The following is a 25,689-nucleotide window of genomic DNA, read 5'->3' as shown; positions in this document are numbered from 1 at the left end:
AATCCAGAGCAAGGCAGATTTCTGTGAGAAATCTGCTTCTACCACTAATATTGGGCAGGTTATATAAACCAACAAAGCCCCATGGCCCTCATTAGAAAATGGGGATGCTAATGCCCATCTCTGAAGCCCTTTATAAGAATTAAATGAGAAGCCTGGTATATGGTGAGAATATAATAAGTGGTAGGTATTATTATCAAGACCACTTTCTTGGGTCTTTCGAGAGGTCCTTCTATCTTCTCCTATATTAATGTGATGTTTCTTTTCACTGTCACAAACTGAAAGGTCAGAGTTCCAGAGCAAATTACCCATGGAGCAGCCACCACAGAGGGCCTTGTGTTTGCTGAAAGTAATTGAATAAGTATTTGCAATAGTGCTGACTGTATAATGGAGAGAGCTGATTCTTTTCTCTCTCAATTTTATTTTGTTTAGTGTTAACGTTGGTTGGTGAATAATGGCTGCTTCAAATTAGATATTACTTTGAATAATTAGATTCCCTTTATAAAGCTATGATAAATTAGTTACTGCTACAGGAAATCCAATTTTTTAAAGGGCATAAAATAGGACTCTGAATGCTTCATATAGTTCTCTAAACTGGGTTTGTTAAATATTATCCATATTTATCAGAGAGGCAAAATTAACCCCAGTTTTGAGGGATATAATAGCGTTTAAGAATTCAATCAGATGACCTCTTCAGGCTAACAATGAGCAAAATAAAAACTAGAGCACCTGCCATTTATGACCAAAATCTCAAGAGATAACGATAATTCTAGATGCATAGTTTTGACACACTGAGTTTTTTAAAGCTAATTTTCATCTGCTTATTTTATTCCTAAAGCTGAGAATGTTAAAGTATTTAAAAAGAGGTTTGCTTGTTTCTCTCATTATATAATTATGACAAAGAAAAAAGATCATCCTTTTGCAAACTTCTCAGGTTCCTCACTTCAATGGATTTATTCTTTGAGCAGAAATTGTAACCTTCCAGTGAGATTGTAAATGGCATTCATTCTTTGATTCTTTTTCCTGTAACTTCCTTTTTTTTTTTTTTTTTTTTTTTACCATAAGCACATAGTACAGTACTTTAAGAATTAGGAAAAATCTTTTTAGTTGTTATTTTTATTTTTATTTCTCATTGAAAAACAAAAAGCAGTGTGGGCAGGGGACCATGCCACCTTCACCAAGGCTGGACTAAGAATGTGCCATCGGGGAGGACTCATAGCTATTGTGAGTTGATCACACCCAAGTTTGTTGAACCCTGAACGCTGAGAATATGGACAATTGGGCAATAAGAAATATTTAAATGTCTATTATGTGCCTAATTTTAGTCAGACTTGTATGGCTATTGCAGCATTTATGCATGGCTATAATTCTCAGACTAAAGAATAGCGCCTAGCACACAGTGGGCGCTCAGTAAATATCCGCCGAATAAACAATGCAGAGCTAAAGCAGGACAGCAATTATCATGCCTCAAACAGGGGAGGTCTGAGTCACTTCCTGCCTGAGAAGCCAGAAGAGGGTTTTTCTCTCTGAAAGTACAGTAGTTGATTCTGAAGTAGGAACCAAATTAAGCAGAAACATTGATGCACATGACTTTAAAAACTATTAAGTTTTCATTGTACTTTTTCTTCTCACAAAGGACTCTAGAATAATAGGATGTACAGATAAGGAAAAAGAAGAAATATGTTAAAAGAAACACTGTTATGGCACAGGTACATAATTTTTCATTTGATTATCTATGCATACCATATAATTAACATACATATATATTTTTTCTTTTACAAAAACTGGAACCATACCATTTTGTAATTTTTTTGCTTTGTCACCAGATAGTCCCCTGCCACATTATTTCAGTAAGAATGTATATCATACCAGATGGATGTACCCGAATTTATTTGCCCACATCCCTGTTGCACATTAAGAAAATACTGCAATGAACATGTGATACCCATCACAATAGAATACTTAATAGATTAAAGTGACCTCTCAACTATAAAGAACTTGCCTTAAGTTACTTTTCCTGAAGTAGCAATGGGACTGACGTCATTCACTGGAGAGAGAAGAGGAGTCTGTGTCTGCCCAGGGCAGTGCTAACTGGCAGGTGAAGAAACAAAACCCAGGGTTCCCGGGACTTGGGCAACAGAGGACACATTGTTATCAGAAAATCAAGTGAATTTTTTGAAGCTGAAAGGAACTTTAGAAATAGTCAATTGTTACATCCTCAATTAACTCTTGAGGTTCCTGGAGAGGTTAAATGGGTTTTTTGTTTCGTGTTTTGAGACGGAGTCTTGCTCTGTCACCCAGGCTGGAGTGCAATAATGTGATCTCTGCTCACTGCAACCTCTGTCTCCCAGGTTCAAGCGATTCTCGTGCCTTAGCCTCCTGAGTAACTGGGATTATAGGTGTGTGCTGCCATGCCTGGCTAATTTTTGTAACTTTAGTAGAGACGGGGATTTGCCAGAAGAGATGTTGGCCAGGCTGGTCTCCCAACTCCTGACCTCAAGTGATTCACTAGCCTCGGCCTCCCAAAGTGCTGGGATTACAGGCATGAGCCACCGATCCCAGCCTAAATGTTTTCTGCTGAAGCTAAATTTTATATCACCTCTTAAATCTCCTCACCTTGTAATTTTGGTAGGTTTCTGCAATCACACAGAGTTTTAATACTTTTATAATTCAAGACTCTGGGTAAGTGGAACTTTGGTCCCCACAACCACATTCTAAGTTAAAGTGCAGCTAACCTATGCAGGTCTTTCAACAGCGTGATCCTAACAGATTCTGTGCAACCCTTAGCTAAAAATCCCAGTCCAAACCTAGAAAACATGCTAAGTGAAAGAAGCCAGACACAAAAAAACACATATTGAATGATTCCATTTATATAAAATGTCCAGAATAGGCAAATCCATAGAAACAGAAAGTACATTAGTGGTTGCCAGGGGCTGAGAGAAAGGGAAATAGGAGTAACTGCTTAATGGGCATAGGACCTCTTTTTGGGGTGATGAAAATACAGACAGTCTCTGACTTATGATGGTTCAGTTTGCCTTAGGATGTTTCAACTTTACAATGGTGCAAAAGTGATACACATTCAGTAGAAACCATACTTCAAGTACCCATACAATCATTCTGTTTTTCACTTTCAGTATAGTATTCAATGAATTCCATGAGCAATTCAACACTTTTTTAAATATAATATAGACTTTGTGTTAGACGATTTTGCTCAACTGTAGGCTAGTGTAAGTGTTCTGTGCACATTTAAGGCAGGCTAGGCTAAACTATGATGTTCAGTAGATTTGGTGTAATAAATGCACTTTTAACTTATTTATTGAGTTTTTTTTGGAATGTAATCCCATTGTAAATTGAGGAGCATCTGTATTCTGTAATTAAGATAGTGGTGATGGTTGCACAGTATTGTGAATATATTAAACAATCACTGAACTGCGCACTTTAAAATTGTTACAATGGTGAATTTTATGTCATGTGGATTTTATCTCAAGTGAATTAAAAAACAAAAAACTGTCCGGCCTATGTCAATGAAGATAAGAGACAGACCAACCAGATGAGTGAGTGGAGACTGCTTAAAGAGTAGCCCCATTGTGAGCTCTTCCTGGGGAGGACATGCAGTACCTCCTGCAGAATACTGAATACTCCCATTCTATCCCCCCATTTCCAGCCAAGTAAAGGGAGCGTCCAGAGAAACATGCCATAAGCTGACCCATGCCTCCTGGAGTTCAGAAAGCACAGGAGCTGGAGTCTGAGTTTTCCCAGAAAATGTATCTCCATATAATGAAAGACACAGGATGGGGTGAGAGATCTGGTTCTATAAAAAATCTTAGGCAATTTACAAAAACCAACTGGAGCAGGCCAAGAGAAGAACAGGATGCTGTAGGAGCTGAGTGCACTTCCATAGTTGTTGGGCAAAGGTATGTTTTTCTTGTGGGTTCAAGCTAAGTTACACTGTAAAAATCCTATTAAGAGTGCTGCCCGCCAGAGTGATGAAACTCCACAGGAAGCTCCTGCATGCAGCAATCAGTGACCCCAGTGAGCTCCATCTCCAAAGAACACCCAGTGTGCCTCACGCCGAAAAAAGAGGCAACAAGATATCTGCCAGTGTATAAATTCCACCTGACTACAGGACGCGTGGTAGAGTCAAAGGAGATAAAGAATGTGAAAGCCCTTCTTAGGACATAAAGTGCTATTGAAGTGTTAATTATTAGTAAAAATGACTTAGAATCATCAAACATGTGCTATTAATTTCTTGTCTCATATCTCTAATTACTTAAATCTTTGATTACAACCTGAGAAATTGTGGAAATTACAGGGCTAGAACTCCTGTGATTTCATCACCTCAAATTACTGCCTCAGGCAGATAGTATTTCCAAACCCAGCTAGACACTCACATGACCACACCCCCTTCTCAGCATACTAGATTCAGAATTATGTCAAGTGTCAAGCCACATTCTACTATCCCTTGGAGTCATTACTGAATGGTCAAAAATTCCAATGTATTATGTCATGTGGAAGAGGCCAGAGGAATATCTATCGCATCCTATTTTAAACTCCTGAGAAGGCAACTCAACCATCTGTCTTGGCAACCCATTCCAGGTTGGAACCACCCTGGCAGAAACGTCTCTCTTCTGTTTAATCTAAATCCTTCAAATAGAACCTTGAGATAATTGCATCCCATTTCATTTTCAAATAATTTGGAACACAGTTGTTTACCATCTGGGTTATAGGATTATATAATGTCACAGGGCTGTGGTGAGCAATAAATGAAATAATGCATGTAAAACGCATAGCTCAGTGTCTGGCATATAATAAAGGCTCAGTACATATTTATTATCACCATCATTACATGTGTTAGTACTCTGTCCGTCACAAGTGACATGCAACTCAAAATAATTTAAGCTAAAAAAGGGGGTGGGGTGGAAAATATAATTAAAAAGGAAGTAAAAGTATGCAGTGGCCTTCAGGTACTACCAGATCCAGGACTCAAATAACATTTACAGGACTCCTCTTTCTCTTTCTTCTCCTTTTTTTTAAGACAAGCTTTCAAAGCATAAAAGGCAGGACAGCAACCAGCAGATTCAGTTGGGGTAAACCGTTATCTTAACCACTTTGAATAGGTTCCCTGTTCATCAGTTCATTTATCAAAAATTTATTGAATGTGTTAAGCAGGGTTCTGAGAGCTGAGAATACAGCAATACACAAAACAGATAAAACTGCTATCCTCTTGGAATTTACCTTCTAGTGGAAAGAGGGAATCTGTTAGAAGGAGAAGGGATGCTAGAAAGATAAAAATGTTATCCTCCACAAAATAAGGTCACGTCTTATACCTTAAGATCAACTCTTATCTTTCTTTCCTCCCAGCTAGTAAACTCAATCCTTTTACAACGTTCTTCCCTTTCACAAACATGTGAAATCCCCCAAATCAGGTCTTCAAATGGATAAATAGCCTTGTCTATGGATTTTGAGTGCATTTAGTTTACTTTTGCTGTGTAATCTCTGCATAATGTTTCTACAATATGCCTGTAGTTATAATAATATAACCTTCCTGTTTCCATTTTTTTGAATCACTTATTCTTTTTAGACTATTTTTGCATTAAATACAGGTCTTTCTTCTGCCTTCATGGTTTCCTTAAAATACGATGTTAATTAGTAAAATCCTGCAAAAACCTGGTCATTTATTAGTCATTTAAAAAATATTCCTCTGAGCGATTTTAATTCTATTCCTCTGTATTAACTATTCTAACTCTATAAAATTGAAGTCCTGGAGACCAAGCTTTTGAGAATCCCAGGAAGTGTGGCCTAATACTAGAAAATCTCAACTTCTGCCTCTCCCCTTTAAGTACACAGTAAGAAATGCTTGCATGAAGCATTTTAGGCTGTGTTCTTATGATAAAATTCAACTTTCATGAAATAAATTAATCTGAATCAAGTTGTCCTCATCTGAAAATGCCTAGATTTATTAGTGCTAGCCCGGCTTTATTCCACAAACAATTCTATTTAAATTAGGTGTTGGTCTAACAAATCTGCCTGACCACAGCAATGACTCACGGACCATGTAGGAAACAACTTTCACTAAATTCAAGATTGCTCAAGTGAAAAGGTGCGCGGGGGAGGGGAGGAAGAGTTGGTTGTCCTCATCATTTTTATTTTTAAGTAATATTACAAGTTATCTATCCTGCCCCAACTGTTTCCTCAATTTGGTTGCTTTTCATTCCACTGTGGTTGGCATCTTTTGTCAAGGCAGTAATTTATTTCTTTTAATCCGGATATAATGGCCAAATGGGCGATCTGACTCACTCAAATCCCATCGTTAAAACTTATCTTGGAATTAAACAAAAATGGATTTTTAATCGTAGAGCTCATCAGCCTCATAGTCTCCACCTCATTTCTGAATGGCCTTGTTCGGCTTGCACCTTCTGTGCTTGCTGAACCAAAGCGCGCTGGTCGGCCGCGGCATCTCCGGAAGGGATGAAGAGCCTCCGCGCACACGCCCCTTACTTCCCTGTCCCGCACGCGCCACGAGCACGCTTGCAAAAGACGGGGAGGTGGCGGGGACAGAGACAGAGGAAATGAGAGAGAGAGAACGAAAGAGAAAGGAGAGAGAGGGAGAGAGAGAGGGAGAGAGAAGAGGGGAAGGAGAAGAGAGAAAAAAGAAAAAAAGGTCTGCTCTGGGATTATTATTATTATTTGGGTTAATACTCTTATCTTTGCATTCCAGCCGGAAGGTCGGCTCCAAGCCTTCTTTCCTGCCCTCCTCCTTCTTGAATTGGACACCATCCCTGTTGCCGCCTCCTGAGTCAGGAAAGGGATAGAACTTTCCCAGGGAGGTGAGGGGTGTCCCCGTGGCGATTTCCCGGTTACTTCCTCCCAGCAGATATCCCTGTGGAGAGGAAACGTTCCCGACTTCCCTCCCCGCGACCTCCTCCCTAGAAACGAGCGGAGACGTCAGGCTGCTTCTGGGTTTATTTTGTAAACCCAGACAGTCAACTGCACTTGGCGCAGGCAAAGCCTCCTTGGCCCTTGCCCCAAAGCAAAGCTCTAAGAGGTCCGGGGATTCCTTGGCCTGGGTGGGGAGAGAGACGTGACCTGTGCGGCCGCCGCGAAGTGGGTCTCCAAGGGTGAGACCCCTCCCTCGGTGGCTGGGCGTGTCCCCTTTAGCCTTCCTGGACCCCATTACCGCCCGGCTTGGAGCTGGACGAAGGGACGTAATTGGTAGGCGAGTGGGTTGGGCATCTTGACTCAAGGACCAGAGTCTGGGCCTCTGGTGTGGACCCCTGCCCCCTCCCCGCTCTGCGCGGCCGTTCTAGAGGTCCGGGTGGGAGCTGGAGGAGGAAAGCGGGAGGAGGCGGCGAGGCCGCGGGGCGGTATGAGGGGGCGCCGGCCGCCTCTCGGATTGGCTGCGCCGCCGCCCCCTCCGCATCGCGCGCCCCCCACCACGCGCCCAGCCTGCTCCCTCCCGCAGGCTCCGAGCTGCTGCCCGCAGGAGGCAGGACGCGCAGGGGTGGGACCGGCGCCCCAGCCCGTCTCCCGGCCCCGGGCGCGCGGGAACCCCGGGTCCTGCAGCCTCCCGAGTGCGGAGAGGCGGGGCCGCCCGCTGCCGCCCGGCTGCCTGCGCCCCCTCCCGCGGCCCCGGCTCTGGGAGCGGGGCGCCCCGCGCGCGGGCACACGGCGGCCAGAGCGCCGAGGCGGTACCTTCAGCCTGCAATGAGAGGAACCCGGGAGAGCCCCCGGGAGCCAGCGAAGAGCTTGGCTGCTGCGTCCAGGGCTGCTGCTGCCGCCGCGGCTGCTTGAAACTCCTCAAAGTTGAGAGCCGGCTAGAGGGTGCCGCCCGCCGGGAGCCGGAGGGAAAGGAAGTCGGAAGGTGCAAGAGTGACAGACACGGACAGACGGACGCGCAGACCTTCGGAAGGCACTGCGTAGGCAGCCTCCCCGGAGCCCACGAGGCTCCCCAGCACCGTGAGTTTTTTCCTGGATGGGTGGTTGCTAAGTATTTCCGTTTAATTGTTTGTAGCGTACGTTTGCGTATAGTTGTGTCTGTTGGAGGGAGTTTAAAACAACAACAACAACAACAACAACGCAGGATGCACCTTAGGAAAAAATTGAGTTTCTGATGGTGGGTGAGACGGTGGGTTGTATGGAGAGAATGTGACTGTACATTTTTATAAGCAGGACTAACCCAGGAAAGAGGAAAAAATACATTTAACAGTGAAGAGGCAACACAGAGCTCCCTATTGTGAAATAAAACCCATTTCAAAAGTTATTGGAAAGAAAGTAAGGTATGGCTCTTATGGGTTAACTAGTGGTAGTCAGTTTCTGCTTTTTACTCCCTCTGAATTATTAATTGTTTGCCAGGTTCACTGGTGGGAGGCTGAGCCGGTGGAAAAGACACCGGGAAGAGACTCAGAGGCGACCATAATGTCGTTACGTGTACACACTCTGCCCACCCTGCTTGGAGCCGTCGTCAGACCGGGCTGCAGGGAGCTGCTGTGTTTGCTGATGATCACAGTGACTGTGGGCCCTGGTGCCTCTGGGGTGTGCCCCACCGCTTGCATCTGTGCCACTGACATCGTCAGCTGCACCAACAAAAACCTGTCCAAGGTGCCTGGGAACCTTTTCAGACTGATTAAGAGACTGGACCTGAGTTATAACAGAATTGGGCTTCTGGATTCTGAGTGGATTCCAGTATCGTTTGCAAAGCTGAACACCCTAATTCTTCGTCATAACAACATCACCAGCATTTCCACGGGCAGTTTTTCCACAACTCCAAATTTGAAGTGTCTTGACTTATCGTCCAATAAGCTGAAGACGGTGAAAAATGCTGTATTCCAAGAGTTGAAGGTTCTGGAAGTGCTTCTGCTTTACAACAATCACATATCCTATCTCGATCCTTCAGCGTTTGGAGGGCTCTCCCAGTTGCAGAAACTCTACTTAAGTGGAAATTTTCTCACACAGTTTCCGATGGATTTGTATGTTGGAAGGTTCAAGCTGGCAGAACTGATGTTTTTAGATGTTTCTTATAACCGAATTCCTTCCATGCCAATGCACCACATAAATTTAGTGCCAGGAAAACAGCTGAGAGGCATCTACCTTCATGGAAACCCATTTGTCTGTGACTGTTCCCTGTACTCCTTGCTGGTCTTTTGGTATCGTAGGCACTTTAGCTCAGTGATGGATTTTAAGAACGATTACACCTGTCGCCTGTGGTCTGACTCCAGGCACTCGCGTCAGGTACTTCTGCTCCAGGATAGCTTTATGAATTGCTCTGACAGCATCATCAATGGTTCCTTTCGTGCGCTTGGCTTTATTCATGAGGCTCAGGTCGGGGAAAGACTGATGGTCCACTGTGACAGCAAGACAGGTAATGCAAATACGGATTTCATCTGGGTGGGTCCAGATAACAGACTGCTAGAGCCGGATAAAGAGATGGAAAACTTTTACGTGTTTCACAATGGAAGTCTGGTTATAGAAAGCCCTCGTTTTGAGGATGCTGGAGTGTATTCTTGTATCGCAATGAATAAGCAACGCCTGTTAAATGAAACTGTGGACGTCACAATAAATGTGAGCAATTTCACTGTAAGCAGATCCCATGCTCATGAGGCATTTAACACAGCTTTTACCACTCTTGCTGCTTGCGTGGCCAGTATCGTTTTGGTACTTTTGTACCTCTATCTGACTCCATGCCCCTGCAAGTGTAAAACCAAGAGACAGAAAAATATGCTACACCAAAGCAATGCCCATTCATCGATTCTCAGTCCTGGCCCCGCTAGTGATGCCTCCGCTGATGAACGGAAGGCAGGTGCAGGTAAAAGAGTGGTGTTTTTGGAACCCCTGAAGGATACTGCAGCAGGGCAGAACGGGAAAGTCAGGCTCTTTCCCAGCGAGGCAGTGATAGCTGAGGGCATCCTAAAGTCCACGAGGGGGAAATCTGACTCAGATTCAGTCAATTCAGTGTTTTCTGACACACCTTTTGTGGCGTCCACTTAATTTGTGCCTATATTTGTATGATGTCATAATTTAATCTGTTCATATTTAACTTTGTGTGTGGTCTGCAAAATAAACAGCAGGACAGAAATTGTGTTGTTTTGTTCTTTGAAATACAACCAAATTCTCTTAAAATGATTGGTAGGAAATGAGGTAAAGTACTTCAGTTCCTCAATGTGCCATAGAAAGATGGGGTTGTTTTCCAAAGTTTAAGTTCTAGATCACAATATCTTAGCTTTTAGCACTATTGGTAATTTCAGAGTAGGCCCAAAGGTGATATGACTCCCATTGTCCCTTTATTTAGGATATTGAAAGAAAAAATAAACTTTATGTATTAGTGTCCTTTAAAAATAGACTTTGCTAACTTACTAGTACCAGAGTTATTTTAAAGAAAAACACTAGTGTCCAATTTCATTTTTAAAAGATGTAGAAAGAAGAATCAAGCATCAATTAATTATAAAGCCTAAAGCAAAGTTAGATTTGGGGGTTATTCAGCCAAAATTACCGTTTTAGACCAGAATGAATAGACTACACTGATAAAATGTACTGGATAATGCCACATCCTATATGGTGTTATAGAAATAGTGCAAGGAAAGTACATTTGTTTGCCTGTCTTTTCATTTTGTACATTCTTCCCATTCTGTATTCTTGTACAAAAGATCTCATTGAAAATTTAAAGTCATCATAATTTGTTGCCATAAATATGTAAGTGTCAATACCAAAATGTCTGAGTAACTTCTTAAATCCCTGTTCTAGCAAACTAATATTGGTTCATGTGCTTGTGTATATGTAAATCTTAAATTATGTGAACTATTAAATAGACCCTACTGTACTGTGCTTTGGACATTTGAATTAATGTAAATATATGTAATCTGTGACTTGATATTTTGTTTTATTTGGCTATTTAAAAACATAAATCTAAAATGTCTTATGTTATCAGATTATGCTATTTTGTATAAAGCACCACTGATAGCAAATCTCTCTCCAAAATTCTTAAAGTTGATTTTTTTAAAGGGGGAGGGGAAGGCTTTAATGTGTTCTAGATCAATTTATACCTTCCGTATGACGTTTTACTCTGATATCATTGTGCACTTTAGCCAGATCCAGAAAACACTCAAATTTATTTTGCAACAAGTGAGAGCCCAGGAGACCTCCTTATTATCCTGTCTCTGCTTTGAGGCAATCAAGTACCCTCTCTGAACCTAGGTTCCCTCATCTGTAAAACAAAGGTTTCAGACCAGATGGTGTTTAAGGTTTCTCCCCATACTGGAATGAATGATTTCTTGGTGGTATTAGCATCATCACAGACCTATACTTGCTTTCTGAAACTCTACCACATACTGAAGGAATACAGGAATGGGATTAAGATGACTAGCATAGCAGTGTACAGCTTGAAGAGATGTTCCACATCATCACTCCAGCTCCTTCTCTTTTCTCAGGGACAAATGAGGCCCAGAGAGAATACGACCTGTGTAAGGTCAAACAGTGGCAGGGAAAGAAGGAGAGCTGGGGTTTAGCATTCTCCCTGGTGAAGATTGGAGGTCCAAAGAAATGACTCCTTTTTAAGGGATGGGCATAAAAAAGTGATCAAAACATTGCAAAGGAGAATCAAAGATTGATTGTCCTGGGGCTAAGAAAGAAGATAATTTTTAAAGAATGGGAGTGGGCAACAGTGAAAAATATTGCAGATAAGTAGATAAGGATAGAAGATCAACCACTGACTGGTAGTAATGGTTTTCTGTGAACAAATCAGAATAGTAATAGTAATAACGATAATCAGGGATGCATGGTGAGAGCTCCCTAAGTGCCATGTGGGGCTTTCAGTGGCAGACTGGGCAGCGGGAAGTTAAGGAACAAGTAGCCAGGAGGTGTCCTTTTAGGGAACAGTATGTAGATCCGCTGCTCGGTAGCATTGAAAAGTCCCTATTGGATGGTGTTAAAAATTACTGTCCCTGCCCCTTAAACACCAACCTCACCCTTTGGACAATATCCTTCAGAGCCAAAGATGTTACAAGCAAGCATTTTATTCTGCTTACTGCCATTAAAATAATTAGGAAGAATTCTGTGACTTGTATGACCTTGGAAATCATCACCTCTTCTTGCTTTATAGAAACGCAGACTCAAGAGATGCTGTGATTTGTTTAGGATCATACAGCTAGTCTGGACACAAGGGAAACCTCTTGATCCATGAAAGCTCTCCAGCAATGTGATATTCCGGGAATGTTTAATAGAGCTAGGACCATCCTCTGACAAGGAAGTTGGAGAGAGGATTCCTAAATTAAATCTTTTTCGGAAGGGACCGCTAAGGTTCTTCCATTCCTCAAATCCTTGATCCTATGAAAGTAAGTGTTGCATTTGCCAGGGAAATATGGACAGTGCTAGGAGTAAGGAATGGCTTTCTGGCAAAAGGATAGGATGAGCTGAGATAGAAACTAAGATACTTATAACCAAAACAAACAAACAAACAAAAGCAGAAAGAAAATCCCAAATACTGAAAAGCAAAGCTGTGTTTTGAGCAAAAGTAGGAAGGGCTGTTGATCAAAAAAGTATGAAACTGAATGTTATGATGTAGAATTTTAAGTTCTTGGATGTACCAATTTTTTTATAGGAGCCTGATCACATATATTTTAAATATAAGAACAAAAGTAACTTACCCTTTTAAAATTTATCTCACTGAGACCTTTTATATAATTTTCTTTCCAAGTAATAATCTATGTAACTGATTTTTTTTAAGCCACTTAGTATTTTTTATTATATAGTTGCGAGAAGTGGAAACTCACTGGAGAAATCAATCAAAGTTCATAAAAGTGAAATTTTCCAAGGCTTAGAGTATTTTTTATTATAATAAAGATACTGGGTCCACTATTCCCTATATACATATGATAATATATTCTATAGTTGTGAGTTAAAATTTTAAAGACACTTTCAAGATCTAGAATCTGAAAGAAGGACCTAAAAGATTTTCTTATTTATAATTAACTTCTGCATTAGTCCTCACTGTTCAGTCTAGAGACACTAAAATATATTCATTTTTTAGCTTTAATTGCTTGAATTATTTGCACGGAAAAATGTTTTTTATATTTTAAAATAAACATTTTCCTAACAATCACAAGGGACGTAGATTAAACTTAGGGGGGTGGAAACATCAGAGGAACAGGAAGAGACATTACCAGTTCAAATTCTGAAAAGATATTTGATTTGGGATCCTCTGGCGAAGCACTATTAAAACAGGATACAGCCTAAGCATCCTACAGCATCATTGCTTTTCCTTTGCCATAACTGCTGCTAGCTTGGTGTCACCTTCCAGTGTCATCTAGTTTACCAAATGATCTAGCAGTAGGTTCAAAACTAGGTTTCTCAATAGACTCGTAGGGGAAAGCTAAACAAGCAAGGGTTTCCAGCAGCTACCCCCTGCACACTTCTCAACCAGAGATTCCTATTCAAGATGTTTGGGGTAAGGCCTGCCCAACTTTTTTTTTTTTTTAAATTTACTGTGCCATTCTGATTCTACCTATTCTGATTCTACCTATTTTGATGAAACACATCCTGAAATGGGACCATAGCAAATTGTGTATTTGAGGCTATGTCAAAATACATTCCTTTTACTTGCTAATACATTTATTAATAAAAAGAAGAATTTTAGCCCTCTAAAAATATTCTCATATATTAGAAAAACAGAAGAGTTTGATTCACGGACACTAAATGAAACATAGAGTAAATTGGCTGTAACTTATGACTTATATTTTTCTAAACTGGGGAACATGGAATAATTACTTTGAGATGACTATATCCCTGATTCTTTCATTTGTTAAAACTATTTCTAGTTTGAAGCAGCTACAACAGATTGGGTTCCTAGCAATGAGCTTTGGAGCTTTCAAATTTGATTAGATTATAATAAAGTGAGGACATATTCCAAGGATGTTTGAGTGCAGATTTCGTCTACGGAGAAGCAAACTCTTTGCTTCTCCAATATATTAGAAGAATAGTTTTTAAAGAAAGCACAAGATTTTTTTCATGGTTCTCTCATTCATCCCTGCCCAAGAGCCAGCCCCCTGATTCATGATTTATTATAATATGAAAGTTAGTGTGGAAAGATGATGATTAATTTGCCCTTGCAAGTAATATTGGATGGTAATATATAAAAAGTAGAACTAAAAAGTCTTATAACTATCTCTTGAATAATTTAGAGGACTGCTTAAGCGGCCATTGTTGCTTGTGGATAGATGCCAGGGAAGGAAGCTCTTTTACAATAAGGACCAGAGTATATAAAAATAGATACTTTGTCAATTGTAAAATGTGCATATGGCATTTATACTGGTTTTAACTTATTAAGCACCTACTAAATACCAGGGACACTGTGTGAGATAGTTTTTATTTATTATCATTCCTTGTTATAGCAGCCTTAAATGACAGGAAATATTACTCTGTTACAGATGGTAAAAAGCAAAAGATGGGAAAGGATAAATCATTTTCCCAGGTGACCGAGTTAATAAGCTGTTTTTATCATGATAATTATTTTAAAAAATATCTCTCCACAGTACTCGCATAGACGTTTAACCAATAGAATGACTTTGTAAAGCATGAGTGAGAAGCAAGCTCTCTATAAATGTAAGAGTTGAATGAACTAATGCTCGCAGCAAGTCTGGGGAGAACAGAAATGGAAGGTCAGGGGATTATAAATCATAATAAAGGTGAACATGTTTTTTTCCCTATAAAATACAATGTGTTACTAAGTAGCAAAATTTGAAATCTACCTAAGAAGATAAGAGGTTTATAAACTATTGGCTCCAGTCTATTGGCTCTTTTTAGTCCAGTTGCACTTCACACATGAAATTGCCTAATATGCAAAATAAATATCTGCTTTATCGTTATAAACTATATATCAAAATATTGAAATGAATAAGTGATTACATTCAATATTTTTAAATTAAAAAATGACCCAAATGTATGGGTAAACATTCTATTTGAGGGAATATCAGAGAATTTGTTTTAAATTTCTAGGAAAGTGGCAGAGACAAGTCAGACCCCATGGGAGATTCTTCCAACTAATTTTAAAAATAGATTTCTCAAGATAATTTTAAAATTATTTAACAGGGTAGTCTCACTAGCTTACTTGATTAAACTTCCCTATGAGGTTAGCAGAGTGTCAAATGTATTTGTAGAAAATTTTTGTAGTGTCCACAGGATCTTAGAGTCATGGAGTCAAGAATCTAGGATTGAGGGTGATCACTTTGGTGATGAATGGCTAGTAGTAACCCAAAGAAGATTATTGGGCATTGCTAGACACAGCCATAAATGATGTATAATAACCACTTTCTCCTCTTAAAGGAGATTACAGTACAACTGAGAGAGCAAACAAATAAACCCATTCAAAAGAAATGAGGTAATCTATTTGTAACTATAATGGCCAGTAGGAGGTGAGAAGGGAATATACTCAGAGATCTTGTTTTAACCAACTAGGCCAATGTGGTACAGGTTTAAATACTACATAACCATCCCACAAATGCCGCAAATATTACCTTAGCTAGGATCTTGACCTGCAGCTAGCTGATGTTTTAGGGTTATACATTATCATTCTTAATCAAATCTAGAGGAGTCAGGGACCTTAAAATTTTGCACTGGTCCTCTATCTATATGCACAGCCCTCACCTCCATACAGTTAGGCTGAAGCCTTTTAAATGTGTGTGTCCTAGCCATGCCATACAGAATGTGAATAAAAACAATAATAACATTTCTTATATGTAAGCTCCTTGCTAATGGCTTTATATATTTTATCTCATATCTGTGAGGGGGATATTATTTTCGTGTCCATTTGACAGATGGAGATACTGAGGCTTAGGAATATTACGTGATTTGCCCAGAGAGCATGTAGTAAAGGAGTCAGGATTTAAACCCAGTTGTCTGGATTCAGAACCCAGTCTTTCAATGTCTGTCATCTAATAAATTAAACTGTAATTCTTCTCAGCTCCATAAGAGGGCGTTGCTCATCATGTCCCCTTTGCCCTCCTGCCTCCTTTTGTCTGGCTTGAGGCTACCTTTCCTTCAGTGTGCTGGCTGTTTCCAGGATTCTACTCTGTCTTTCCATGCTGCGGCTGCCTTAGTCCTAGCAGCTCACTGCTTTGGTCCTTAAGAAATGCCGGCTTATATTCTTCTGCCTCTCTTTATATTCCCCCCTTCCTGACCCAGATCTTCAACTTCTAGAGGATATGCCTTCTATCTCTTTATCCAGTACCTAGCACATGGGATATGTTTCCATGTCTTAGCTTTTTAATTCTATTCATTCGTTCATTCATTCATGCATTCCATAAATAGTATTGAATACCTAATATATGCCAGTCCTTGTGCTTGACCCAGACATCAATGATGATCAAGCTGCTCCCAGGTTTCAAAGAGAGGCAGAAATATAGTTTTATCATGAGGCCAGTGCCATGATACAGAAATGCCCAAAGACAGGGAAGTCAGGGAAAGATTCCTGGAAGAAATAATGCCCAAGTGGGGGCTTCAAGGAAGACTATGTTTAGAGAATCTGCACAGCTGAAAATGCAGGAGATGGAAGGCAAGACTGTGAATTCCCAGGTCCATGGGAATTCAACTAAAGTGGCTGTCAGGAGGCCAGAGTGCCAGCATCCCAGGAACGGTCTTATAATGAGGCCCTTCGATAGTTTGATTACTAGACATTCCTCTCTCTACACTGAAAATTTAGCTGCCATGTATTCCTATTTCATAGCTCTTCAAGGAGGAAACATACTAAATTGGCTCATGTAAATGCTTATAGCATATTTTGCTAAGCTGAAAAGAGTTAGAAATATTAGCTTCTCTTGTGTAACATTGTGGGCTTAATACTGTAATGATGAAATAATCCTACTTAATTCAGTTATCACTCTATAGACCAAGAAATGTCTTAGAGCTAATGTTTACCCAGGCCTCACCATGATTAAATTTACATTGCTAGCTCAGATATTGATCTGACTAAGCTAGTTTTATAAGAGTGAATGATTTGGATGGGAAGAGGCAGAAAGATGTGATTTTCAAGGGGGCGGGGGGATAAACATCAGACTGTCCTGCAGAATTAAATCACAATAGTTCAGGCTGCTTTTTCAGCATTTGTGTGCATTTTTGCCCCAACTCTACCTGGTTAAATACTTCTTCAAAGCACTTTTGTTTGCACAAATCTTTCTCAAAGTCTAGGCTTGTAGAGCTATTGCAGTTTTTTTAAAGCCTATTTTTTCAACCGTATTCCTTTTCCCAGAGAAAGTATCTTGCCTGAGGTGAAAACACAATGCAAGGTCTGTGATGTGAAAGCTTAAAGCAGTTGTATTTTTTTTATTTGTTCTCAGCTTTTTAATATTCATACTTAATTATAACCTTAGGGAAGCATTCAGCTCTCAATCTGACCTACTTCAAATCAGTGGAGAAAATAGCAAATATCTCCCCTAAGCAACCGTTTATAATAACTTTGACTTTTTTCCAAAACCCAGAGGAAATACAGTGCTTGTTCCTGGGCCAAGTTTGTCAGGAGCTATTTGTGTTAATAAATCTTACTCATGTAAGGATTCAATTGAAAAAGCATATAATTGACTATTGTATATAATTTGTAATAAGGACCTTAATTAGCTATAGTACATAGTGATTTGAATGACAAATGTATTATTACATTTTTTCTTGTTTAATTGGTCAATATTAAGCATGTTAGGAATTTGGCAGGGTTGTTGAAAATGAAATTATATACAGCCCCGTAAAAGGGCTGAGGTTTTCCTAAAGAACTAGAGAAGGCACTGCTCTGTAGGTATTTTCTACATATAGTGGCAAGGTGACTGGCTAACTCCCCTGCTATTTGTCACTCAGGGTATTCAGCTTTAAGTACCACACACTGGGGGAGATGGGAGTGTCATCTACCAGTATTAAGTATATCTCATACTTTTCCTTGAATGTAGGGGCAGTTGCCAGAATTTCTGCCAGGCAATGAAGCCTCTTCCCACATTATCTAAAGATTTAGATGGAGGCAGAGACATTTATAGGGAGTTTTCCTGGCTACATCTTCATCTCCTCTACGTATCTCTGGAAAAATGCTTGGAACACTTGTTTATTATTTGCTACCAAACCACCTTAAAGATACTCAGCTGTAGATACTTGCCCTTCAGCCTCACCACACATACTGTCTTTTAAAAGCATTAGTGAATCCTTTACGTGCCAGGTACTGAGCATTTTACTATCTATGGGCATTTCCATGCAAAGTGTTCGTATATGATGTAAAAATGCCTTCTAGGTTCTTCCCATGACTTTTCTCATTTCAGTCAAATGGCAATTCCATTCTTCCAATTGCTCAGCCCCAAAACCTTGGTGTCATCTTTGACTACCTTCTGCTTTTACTCCCTATGCCTGATCTGCAGGAACATTCTCTTGGCTCTGCCTTCAAAATATACCTGGAGTCTGAGCTCTTCTCACCACCACCACTTGATCCCACATCCCAGTCACCAGCTCCCTCCCTGGATGATTGCAGCACCTGACTGGCCTCCCTGCATCCACCCGTCCCCTCCTGGGGTCTGTTCTTAAAGCTCAGGATCCCTCTGAGCAGAAGGCAGCTCATGTCCTTCCTCTGACTACTCACTGGAGGCACATGTGGAGATTTCAAAAACATCCCCAGGCCTGGGCTTCACCGCAGGAGATTCTGATTCACTTGGTTTAAAAGCTCCACAGGGGATTCTAAAGTGCAGTGGTGGTTGAGCCCTTACAAAGGTCGGCTTGTATCCACCTCCAGCCAGTTCTCTAGCCGCATTTCCCACCACGCTGTCCCACACTCCCTGTGCTCTCATCTGCCAGTCTCTGTGCACCAAGCTGGCTGCCCCTCAGGCTTCTGCCCCTCCTCTAAAACACTCCTCCTATTCCGGCCTGACTGGCTTGGCCTCCTTCAGGTCTTTGCTCAGCCTGGCCTCTGACCAGGTTAATTAAAGTCGATTCCCCAACTCTGTCCCAAGCCCACCCCATCCCACCCCACCCCACCCCACCCCACCCCATCCCATCTCCATCACATTCATCTCCATGCGACATCCTACATCTTTTATTACTATATAAGTTCCACGAGGACAGGCATTTTTTATCTGTTTTGTTTGGTGGTGTATTCCCAGTGCCCAGAACAGAACCTAGCCCAGCAATGATAAATATTTGTCAAAAGAATGAAAGCCCAGGAAGGAGCTGTAAGAGCTCCCATAGTAATAAACTGTAAGGTGTGGAAAGGCCATAATAGGCATGTACTGTTTACAATATGGTTGATTTCCATGTGGCACATTTTCTACTTTGCTCCATCGCTTGTGACATTCTTTACCTCCCCAAAAGAGCACACAAAGAGTTTTGCCATATTCAGTGATAAATAAGCTGTCTAAATACATCTAAGTACCCATTTAGCATGTATTTCCCAGTCGTTTAAGGCATCCCATTTGGTATTTATGAGAGGATGTCATGCTGAGTACAGAGAAGCAGGAAGCCTGGATGCCTGTCTCCTCTCAGCATCTGCTAACAGAGTAATGCCAATTAGCACGTGTCAAGGGCCTGAAAGAAATCAGACTGGGCTTAAAAGGTATCAGGCAGTAGGCTTGACACAAATTTAATAAGCTGTCTCTTACCTTTGGAGCAGGTTTTTTTTGTTGTTGTTGTTTTGGAATCCAGTTCTGTCAAGAGGAATTTTGACTGCTTTAGTGAGTAAATGGCAGAGATGCAGTGTTTACTCAGCCAGAGATGACCTCTGAGGAGGTTGTGTAGTCTGACAGGCCAATTAACTATTCTCCTGTCGATACTTGGAAACTTTCAGCAACTTCCATGGCAACTTTTTTTTTTAATTAATTCCTGATATGAGGGGAGACCTCCATCACTAGAGAGAAAACCAAGCAAAAAAGAAACCTGAGTGGAGTGGGGTATGCAGTATGGGGATTGGCCACTCAGCATATCCACCTACTGCAAGGGGTAGCATGGGGAGAGTAAGTGTGTGATGGTGGATATGAAGTGTTTTGTGAACTGTGAAATGCAAGGTGAAGACAACTATGAAAGATGACACTGGGCCAGTTTCAGTGGCTCAGAGGTGGCTCACCACAGCTGAGTGGCCCTCTCACTTCCATCAGTGTTTCCAGAGCAACTACTTCTCCTCTGCCCCACCTCAACTCCTCTTTGCTTTCCATTGAGAGTCCATGTAATATTAAATCCAAGAGAGCAGTGGGCAGCATACCACTTCCAGTAGGTTAATCCTCTTGGCGTGTTATGCTCTAAAGTGTTAAAGCAATTTTTTCAACTCTACGCCATTGTTATCTCATCAACCTAATTTCTGGCTATTAACAATAAAACCAATGAAGAAGAAGTGACAATGAAAAATGAGTAGCGTTATAACATTTATTGAGTACTTACCATGTGCCAGTCATTGTTTTAGGTGCATTCTCTGAGCTAACCCATGTAATCCTCCTAACAACCTCTGCGTTAGGATGACTGTGAAATCCACCTGACCTATGAGCAAACTGCAGCACCCAGAGATTTAGAAACTTGCCCAAGATCACACAGCTGGTAAATGGCACAGCCAGAATTCATACACGTTGTTTCATTTCATCTAGATGACAACACCATGAAGTAAGTACTGTTGCCCATTTTACATATGAGAAAATTGAAAGACATGAATTACTCACCCAAGGCCATGTGCCTAGTACGTAGGAAGTTAAGATTAGAAACCGATTTGTCTGGCTTCAAAACACTTGGCTGTCTTTCTTGGTTAAGACCCACTGTTTTTGATTTATTATTAACATTCTAATTTTGGAATAACCATAACTTTTGTGGGAAGAAGGCATTCAGATATCATTGGGTGTTAGGTAAAGTTCCTATAATTTTTGGCTTCATTTAAAAAAAAAACAACCAGTACATGAAAATCTGAGCAGCAACATGTTAGAGCTGCCAAAAGTGACTGCTGTCGGCCCTGGTGACTGTATTCTGTGTTTGGCACAGTGCTAAATTCTTTGCTTACATAATTGTGAAGAGGTAAGCTATCCCTGTGAAGTAGACATTATTAGACCCATTTTCAGATGGGAAAATTGCCAGAAGTTATATAACATAGCTAGTGGGTAGCCAGGATGGGACCTGACCCCACATCCCTCGATCCCAAAGCCTGTGATCATTGCATGGCCACACAGTCCTCTGTTTACCAGTGGTCAGTGCAAAGGCCATATGCTGATGGGTACCCAGACAACCTAACCACACCATTAAAAAAAATTGTAATGGAGGAATTAAGAATGCTTGTCATTGTATTGGGGAACTTTTGAGTGTGAGCTCAAGAGCCAAATCCTTATCTGAGCTTGTCTGGATTAGTTTATCAGACAGCAGACTGGTTCTGTGGTCCCCACCAGCCATCTCAGAAAAGGATGCTACTATTGGCCATGAGAAAGACCCTTTAAGATTGAAAATATTCATTACAAATCTAAAATTTCTGTTGGAAAAACAATTCCAAGAGCATATCCTACATGTACCACCTTGATACCTGTGCCAAAAAGTAGACAGTGAAGCCATTTGGTGCACGAGCTCTTCTTTACACTCACAGACATGTTAAGATTATTTTATTCATTCTTTTAAATGTTCACATTCATTCACTTTCTGGCAACTTCCAGAATGCATACTGACAGCTGGATAAAATTAACTGAATGTATACAGTAAAAATATTTCTAAAAATAGGAGCAGCATTATCATTTTGACAGCAGCCACAAAATTTATGTTCCTATGTATTATTCATGTTTATAGTTTTATGATTGTTTTTATTCTCATGGAAAAATGTCCACTGAATTTGGCACCAAGTATTGTTTGTTCTATTTAATTTTCTCTCTTCTCCTTCCATATCTCTCCTTCCTTCCTTCTTCCCTCCCTCCCTCTCTTTCTTCCTTCCTTCCTTCCTTTGTCTCTTTCTCTCCCTCTCTCTATTTCTCTCTCTCTTTTTCCTCTCTCCCTTTTCTTTCTTTTTTTTTTTAATTAAAATACTAGTTTCAAAATAATTTAGTTCTAGTCTAGAAAAGTCTAGTCCTCTCCCAGACTAGTATACTTTTTAGAATCTCACTATTTGGAGTCTACTAATACATGCCATTTGCAGTCTAAAAACACATTATGTTTTTTCATTCAGCTCAATTTCTAACATTAAGTTTAAATCATTGCTATCACCAGTATTTCTTAAATGGCATGTAACCAGGAGAGATTACCCTTCTGTGTTACTCCTAAAAGTGTTGCCATTTCAGTAAATGCCAGGTTAATGGAGGGAGGGAGATAACCATATTCAATCCACCATGAGTCCGTTTCACCTACTTTTAAATGTTACTTTAAGATGTCATAAAATATCCTATAATATTATCAAAACTGACATTCTGAATCATGATAATAACTGTTTCTGAGAAATACTTACGTAACTTTAAGTTTGCAAAATATGTATCTCATTAATGTCAAGATTTTTTTTTTAATGTTAAGACAAATTTGTTGACTGATAAAATGGGGCAACATAAAGCTCTACAATCATTGCAGGTCAAGGAATTTAATCCAGGTGTTTCTATTATCAATCTATTTTTTTTTAAAGCCTTAAAAATAGTAACAGAAGGCTAGGTGCGGTGGCTCACACCTGTAATCCTAGCACTTTGGGAGGCCAAGGTGAGTGGATCGCTTGAAGTCAGGAGTTCAAGTCCAGCCTAGCCAACATGGTGAAACCCTGTCTCTACTAAAAATACAAAAATTAGCTGGGCGTGGTGGCGCATGCTGGTAATCCCAGCTACTTGGGAGGGTGAGGCAGGAAAATTGTTTGAATCTGGGAGGCAGAGGTTGCAGTGAGCCGAGATTGCGCCATTGCATTCCAGCCTGGGGGACAAGAGCGAAACTTCATCAGAAAACAAAAATAATAGTTATAATAATAACTGAAACTACAGTAATTCACCCTTTCCCAGTCTTCAAGCAGATTAACAAGTCAAAAATCAACGGTTTCACTCTTAGCTAGTTAAAGATGATTCATATCATTAAGCAGAAACTTTTCCTAATGCAGAACTATTTATTTTTTATAAACAGAGAATAAAACATCTTCCTCTGAGCACTTGAATTTGATAACCAAGCTTCTACACACCAGAGCACAGTCTTAAACAACCTATTGCTTTCTCGATGGGGACAAATAATTTTTGTAGCATTTTTTCTTTTAAAATTATGGCACCCTTTTTTCTAATTTTATTGTAGTTGTTGCCTATTCTCACCAATTAGATTGTTGTCATGAGAATGGATTATTTTGGAATAGCCATGGGCTTCAGAACATGCCATCTCAAAATATGGAGGCTTGGAATTTGAGAAAACAGAGGAAGTAGATGCCATGCTCAACCTTCCCCAACCCTTCTCCTTTGAGAAAATATCTTCATTCAAGAGGCATCCTTCCTATACCTGGAGGGAAGGAACATTCTTTTTTTTTTTTTTTTTTTTTTGAGACATAGTCTAGCTCTGTTGCCCAGGCTGGAGTGCAGTGGCACGATCTTGGCTCACTGCAAGCTCCGCCTCCCGGGTTCATGCCATTCTCCTGCCTCAGCCTCCCCAGTAGCTGGGATTACAGGTGCCCGCCACCACGCCTGGCTAATTTTTTTTTTTTTGTATTTTTAGTAGAGACGGGGTTTCACCATGTTAGCCAGGATGGTCTCGAACTCCTGACCTCGTGATCCGCCCGCCTCTCTGAAGAGAGGGACACAGGGAAGAATGTGAACAAACAGACCTTGCCAAATTCCCCTGTTTATTACCGTTAGATCACACTCTCTTTGTCTAATCATACCTCTCTACGACTATCTACCTCTTCATTAACCTAAGTGTAAAAATACACAAGTTTACCTATTTCTTTTTGTCTTAATTTCTGAAGGCCCCTGTGTCACAAAAAACATATTAAATAATGTATTTACTCTTCTCTTGTTAATCTGTGTTTTGTTATAGGGCCTTCTGCTGTGAACTTAGGGATGGATGAGGAAAAGATACTTTTCATCCCCTACAATGTGTTAAATAAAATAATGGGAAGCCATTGCTTTGGACTGAGTTTCTGGACTAGGCCCCAACAGACCAAACCAAAATGGAGTCACTAATGCTAAAGTTCCATACCACCAAGCAAAAACTAAATTGTTTATCTGACCTTCCAAGAGAGAGCAATAATAGCCCAATTCCCAAACAGTCCAGTTTTAGCAGCATAATAAGGAAGTCCCCTCTGGTTTAACCTTTACAAGGAAAGTAACTTTGAAACAACCTATCTGCTTTTTGTTCCTTCTTTGTTTTCTTCAGCCTTTTTCTGTCTGAAATACTGCCAGGTTGCCAAGTGGAGTTGTATGAACCCTTCTGATTCTTGAGGGCTGCTTTGATTTGGGAATTGTCCTTTGCTCACATAAACTCTATTAAATTTGTTTTAACTAAAGTTTTTCAAAAAATAAAATAGGATTAATATATATTTAAGTATTAGTATTTAAACAAATACTGGCTTTGGTCAAATACTACAGTAAGTAATGATTTTCTTTAAATTTTTTTTTCTAGGTCAGTATATGTCTTAGTTATTTTCTTTTTTTTTTAAATTTTATTATTATTATACTTTAAGTTTTAGGGTGCATGTGTACAACATGCAGGTTTGTTACATATGTATACATGTGCCATGTTGGTGTGCTACACCCATTAACTCATCATTTAGCATTAGGTATATCTCCTAATGCTATCCCTCCCCCCTCCCCCCACCCCACAACAGTCCCCAGTGTGTGATGTTCCCCTTCCTGTGTCCATGTGTTCTCATTGTTCAATTCCCATCTGTGAGTGAGAACATGCAGTGTTTGGTTTTTTGTCCTTGAGATAGTTTGCTGAGAATGATGGTTTCCAGTTTCATCCATGTCCCTACAAAGGACATTAACTCATCCTTTTTTATGGCTGCATAGTATTCCGTGGTGTATATGTGCCACATTTTCTTAATCCAGTCTATCACTGATGGACATTTCGGTTGGTTCCAAGTCTTTGCTATTGTGAATAGTGCCGCAATAAACATACGTGTGCATGTGTCTTTATAGCAGTATGATTTATAATCCTTTGGGTATATACCCAGTAATGGGATGGCTGGGTCAAATAGTATTTCTAGTCCTAGATCCCTGAGGAATCGCCACACCAACTTCCACAATGGTTGAACTAGTTTACAGTCCCACCAACAGTGTAAAAGTGTTCCTATTTCTCCACATCCTCTCCAGAACCTGTTGTTTCCTGACTTTTTAATGATCGCCATTCTAACTGGTGTGAGATGGTATCTCATTGTGGTTTTGATTTGCATTTCTCTGATGGCTAGTGATGATGAGCATTTTTTCATGTGTTTTTTGGCTGCATAAATGTCTTCTTTTGAGAAGTGTCTGTTCATATCCTTTGCCCACTTTTTGATGGGGTTGTTCATTTTTTCTTGTAAACTTGTTTGAGTTCATTGTAGATTCTGGATATTAGCCCTTTATCAGATGAGTAGGTTGCAGAAATTTTCTCCCATTCTGTAAGTTGCGTGTTCACTCTGATGGTGGTTTCTTTTGCTGTGCAGAAGCTCTTTAGTTGAATTAGATCCCATTTGTCAATTTTGGCTTTTGTTGCCATTGCTTTTGGTGTTTTAGACATGAAGTCCTTGCCCATGCCTATGTCCTGAATGGTATTGCCTAGGTTTTCTTCTAGGGTTTTTATGGTTTTATGTCT

General features: G+C 40.3%; 2 protein-coding genes across 19 annotated transcripts in view; one reads left to right on the top strand and one right to left on the bottom strand.

Annotated features, from left to right (window-relative positions):
* Positions 1-7,794, bottom strand: part of PCED1B (PC-esterase domain containing 1B) — a 157,040-nt gene extending 149,246 nt beyond the window's left edge. For all 15 annotated transcript variants that reach the window (XM_047429873.1, XM_047429870.1, XM_017020207.2 and 12 more), the window contains exon 1: positions 7,690-7,794. The gene's annotated coding sequence lies outside the window, so the exon portion shown is untranslated. The remainder of the gene's footprint in view (positions 1-7,689) is intronic.
* On the top strand, positions 7,456-11,708 carry AMIGO2 (adhesion molecule with Ig like domain 2). Of its 4 annotated transcripts, none has more exons than NM_001370299.1 (3): positions 7,456-7,953; positions 8,167-8,273; positions 8,350-10,968. In NM_001370299.1, the coding sequence occupies exon 3, from the start codon at positions 8,413-8,415 to the stop codon at positions 9,979-9,981; it is 1,569 nt and encodes a 522-aa protein (NP_001357228.1). In that variant the 5' UTR covers positions 7,456-7,953; positions 8,167-8,273; positions 8,350-8,412; the 3' UTR covers positions 9,982-10,968. The 4 variants fall into 4 exon arrangements, with proteins under 4 accessions (NP_001357228.1, XP_047284741.1, NP_001137140.1 ...); NM_001143668.1 differs by having other exon boundaries at positions 7,464-7,953; positions 8,167-8,268; positions 8,350-10,815; XM_047428785.1 differs by having other exon boundaries at positions 7,456-8,268; positions 8,350-11,708.
* Positions 11,709-25,689: the final 13,981 nt, after the last annotated feature.

This window comes from Homo sapiens, chromosome 12 (genome assembly GCF_000001405.40).
Source record: "Homo sapiens chromosome 12, GRCh38.p14 Primary Assembly".
In the NCBI taxonomy this organism is placed as follows: Eukaryota; Metazoa; Chordata; class Mammalia; order Primates; family Hominidae; genus Homo; species Homo sapiens.
Note: the sequence above shows the minus strand (reverse complement) of the source record. Positions and strands in the feature narration are given on the sequence as shown.